This window comes from Homo sapiens, chromosome 18 (assembly GCF_000001405.40).
Source record: "Homo sapiens chromosome 18, GRCh38.p14 Primary Assembly".
Lineage (NCBI taxonomy): Eukaryota > Metazoa > Chordata > Mammalia > Primates > Hominidae > Homo > Homo sapiens.
The window spans coordinates 13,163,039-13,167,045 of NC_000018.10; the positions used below are offsets into that span (position 1 = coordinate 13,163,039).

At 46.3% G+C, this 4,007-nt stretch overlaps 1 long non-coding RNA gene across 1 annotated transcript, besides 3 other annotated features; it reads right to left on the reverse strand.

Moving 5' to 3' along the window:
- Positions 1 to 900: 900 nt before the first annotated feature.
- On the reverse strand, positions 901 to 2,683 carry LOC124904254 (uncharacterized). Its single transcript, XR_007066299.1, has 2 exons — positions 2,388 to 2,683; positions 901 to 1,770 (listed from the first exon to the last, which is right to left on the reverse strand). It is a non-coding gene; the product is annotated as an uncharacterized LOC124904254 (long non-coding RNA).
- Positions 2,192 to 2,765: an enhancer, noted in NCBI's record as "H3K27ac-H3K4me1 hESC enhancer chr18:13165229-13165802 (GRCh37/hg19 assembly coordinates)". NCBI's record gives its function as "activates a minimal SCP1, AML or CMV promoter by ChIP-STARR-seq in naive H9 embryonic stem cells {active_cell/tissue: H9 hESC(naive)}" and the evidence as "EXISTENCE:reporter gene assay evidence [ECO:0000049][PMID:30033119]".
- Positions 2,766 to 3,337: an enhancer, noted in NCBI's record as "H3K27ac-H3K4me1 hESC enhancer chr18:13165803-13166374 (GRCh37/hg19 assembly coordinates)". NCBI's record gives its function as "activates a minimal SCP1, AML or CMV promoter by ChIP-STARR-seq in naive H9 embryonic stem cells {active_cell/tissue: H9 hESC(naive)}" and the evidence as "EXISTENCE:reporter gene assay evidence [ECO:0000049][PMID:30033119]".
- Positions 3,125 to 3,310: a silencer, noted in NCBI's record as "fragment chr18:13166162-13166347 (GRCh37/hg19 assembly coordinates)". NCBI's record gives its function as "represses an EF-1alpha promoter that drives an FKBP-Casp9 reporter gene in an ReSE screen in K562 erythroleukemia cells {active_cell/tissue: K562}" and the evidence as "EXISTENCE:reporter gene assay evidence [ECO:0000049][PMID:32094911]".

Below are 4,007 nucleotides of genomic sequence, written 5' to 3' on the forward strand. Positions count from 1 at the left end.
TTTTCTGAGGCAAGTGGCTGATCCGATTTGCCCCGTGGGGAAGCCGGCACTCTGGGAGTCCCAGCACAAACGGCAGACAGAGGGTCTGCAGGAGAGGAGCCCAATTCAAAGGAGCAGAAAATTGGATCGCCCAGATGTGTCCGGTGGGGAACACTGAAGGGCAAGGAGCCCCCTCAGGGTGTGGCCCATGTGCAACGACAGAGAATGCCAGGAAGGGTTCCTCCAGCCTTACCTCTTTGAAGACATTTGCTGAGCCCGCCCCACGCCTCCCCTCCCAGGGCTAAACATTGCCCCTGTCCCCGCTGTTTCCCATGCACATGTGGGCCCTCAGCCTGCTCTGGGCAGAGGGAGGGCCTTAGGGGCGTGGACACCCGTCCGAAGTTCCACCTTTGGTCCTCCATGAGGCAATTATCACGCCTGATCACACACAAGTTTTTCTCAAATATAACGCTATAAAAATCCAAACAATTTGGTCACACAATTTGTCCAATTATATCCTGATAAAAAAAGGACAGATTCTTATTGAATCTTTGCAATTAATGCCAATTAAAGCAAAGAACCTCAAGAAAAATACTTACAAATCCTAAGAGATGAGTAAGATATTAAAGAATGTTTTGTTTCAGCTTGCAAAAGCATAGTCTATTAAGCTAAAGGTTAAAGACAGATCCAGAAGAAGGAGAAAGGCTTCATCATATACTGATCACAAAGAAAACACAAAAAATAACAGTGGCGAAGCTCAGATTTCCTTCATGCATCCACTCAATCCCACTTCCAAAGGCTCTCAAACCCGGCCTATTATCACTTCTTGAATATCACACTAAATACTACAAGACCACTTCTGTCATTTTAACAGAGACAAGACCCAATTCTAGTCTGGCATTAATGTAATATTTGGCAGCAAACGATTCATATGCTTTTATTTTTTCTTACGAACAAACCCATTAAGTATGAACAAATTTTGCCCAAATTGTAACACATTTCATTGTTTTTTTTTTTCAGACTCATTATTTGCAGATATTTGGAATCAAGGAAAATAAGGTTTACTTTCTTTAAAACTTCCATAATTTTCTATTTTCATTCAAGTTGTATCTTTCACTACTCTCTTTCCCATTCTGGAGCAAACAAACACTTCAGACAAAACGAATCTCTTTATCCTTGGTGAACAAAAGCACATCCCATTGAATGCACGATCATATTTCTTTGCCACTATTGCTCCTAGTGTAGTCTCAGTCACTAATGTTAGTTATAAATGTTAACCCAAGCCAATAACTTCCATTTGCAGGTAGAGCTGGGAGGTGGGGATAGAGACCCATCTGTTGTCACACAAGCCATTTTAGCAGACAGCGTCTCCCCGAAGGTGGGGGCCTCTGGAAGCAATTGCTGAGATGGAGCTAGGGGTGCAGACGGTTTTTAAGGCACAAAACTTGGGCAAAGGGAGAAGTCAAGGCACAATTCAGCCCAGAGAAAGCCTTGGCCGGCCCAGCGGGGGACACCCAGGCCAGAGCTGACAGTGAGAGGTCCTGGCTGGCTGGCTGGTGGGGCTCGGTCGCAGGTGTGGCCCAGGCCATGTGGGTCTCAGGTGAGGCGGCTCCGTGCTGCTGATGAGGGCGCCGGCAGCAAGTCCTTCCTCAAAGGGGCACCTGGCCCGGCACCTCCGTGTCCACCACAGCCAGAGAAGTTCACAAACACATAGAAGAAGACCCCTTGCAACACGTACAGCAAAGTGGCAAAGCTGAACATCTGTTAACACGGCCCAAAGGTGTAGCTACACTACAGCATATAAAAATAAGAAGAAATGAGTATTTAGAGATTGTTAATTCAGTCAACATAAATCCAAGGTCTTAAGGTTATTAAGGACTTTGGAAATTATGTGTGAAATAACATACCACAGAACATAATTACTATTGGTATAACAAAGTTTGTTAGAATTTTAATTCAATTTAGTTGAACACATTTTATTTACACTTCTCTAAATCTAAAAATTTATATGGAGGTACTATTAGTTTATTTGAACAGAAACATCAATATAGGAAGTTTAGAAAGATCAAGTTATCTGGACTATGCAAGACAAAACAAGTTTACATCTGGTCAAATAAAATGGCCGATAGGAGGCAGGAGTAAATTGCAGCTCCCACCCGGACAGACAGCGCAGCGTGTGGAGACTCACACCGGTGAACTTTTGCTCCAAGAACTACCGCAGGAACCTACCAGGAAAGCGAGAGAATCCACAGACCCTTTGAAAGAAGTGGATTGCTCCTGCAGGCCCCAGGAGACAGCCCCCAAACTGTGGGTACCCAAAGTGTGAAAGGGGGATCATCCACCCCTGAACACACACCCTCACTGGGGAGACTGAAGGTCCAGATTACAGGAGAAGGAATCGACCTTACCTGGAACTGAGATAATTTAGAGAGCCGTGCAAAATACAGGGGTTGAGGAAGCCGTAGGTAGAGCCCTGTGGGCTCCCTCGGTCCCCAGGGAAGCCATTTCTGACTTCATCTTCCAGAGGTCCTTAGGGAGGGCTGCCAGAGGAACTGGGGAAAGACCAAAGGAGAAGGAAACTTCCAGCTGAACTTTGTAACAATTTTAACCAAACGCGAAGTTTCCCGGACAGAACTCGGGCGACGGGTGAATCGGAGCGCAGACACAGCACAGAAGCCGCGGCAGGCGGGGAAGCTTGAAACCTGAAAGCCCTGCTTGCTTTCTCAGCTGGGAGGCTGGTAGCCTGGGGCAGGTTCTCAGTCCTGTTCATCAGCTGCCTGGAAACAAACTCGGTGCTGTCCTGTGGGGGATGGGGGCGCCACAGTGGGAGTGAGACTGGCCTTTTGGGCTGTGTAGGAGCTGAGTGAGGCCTGTAACTGCCAGCTTCCCCTCACTTCCCTGGTGACCTGTGTGACACAGCGGAGGCATCCATAATCCTCATGGGAACAGAAGGCCATGGTCCTGAGAACCATCCCCCATCCCTCACAGCAGCCGCAGCAAACCCCGCCTAAGGAGAGTCTGAGTTCAGACACACCTAATCCTGCCCCCACCTGATGGTCTTTCTCTATCTGCCCTGGTAGCTGAAGACAAAGGACATAATGTCTTGGGAGCTCTAGGGCCCTGCCCGCCACCTGATCCTCCCTATACTACCACAGCAGATGGGCTCTTGAAAAATGCCACCTCCTGGCAGGAGGCCAACCAGCACAAAACTAGTGCAGTAAACAGACTACAACTAAGGATCCTCACAGAGTCCATTTCACTCCCCTGCCACCTCCACCACAGCAGGTGCTGCTATCCATGGTTGAGAGACCTGAAGATGGTTCACATCATAGGACTCTGTGCAGACACCCCCAGTACCAGCCTAGAGCCCGGTAGCTCCACTGGGAGGCTAGATCCAGAAGAGAAATAACAACCACTGCAATTCAGCTCTCAGAAAGCCACATCCCTAGGGGAAGGTGGAGAGCACTACATCAAGGGAGAACCCTATGGGACAAAAGAATCTGAATAGCAGCCCTTGAGCCCCAGATCTTCCCTCTTACATACTCTACCCAAATGAGAAGGAGCCAGAAAAACAATTCTGGTAATATGACAAAACAAGGTTCTTTAACACCCTCAAAAGATCACACTAGCTCATCAGCAATGGATCCAAACCAAGAAGAAATCCCTGAATTGCCAGAAAAAGAATTCAGAAGATCCATTATTAAGCTATCCAGGAGGCACCAGAGAAAGGTGAAGTCCAATTTAATGAAATAAAGAAAAGATACAAGATATGAAGGAAAAAATCTTCAGTGAAATAGAAAGCATAAATAAAAATCAATCACAACTTCTGGAAATAAAGGACGCACTTAGAGAAATACAAAATGCACTGGAAAGTCTCAGCAATAGAATCGAACAAGCAGAAGAAAGAACTTCTGAGCTCAAAGACAAGGTTTTTGAATTAACCCAATCCAACAAAGACAAAGGAAAAAGAATTATAAAAAATGAACAAAGCCTCAAGGAAGTTTTGGCTTATGTTAAACAACAATTAT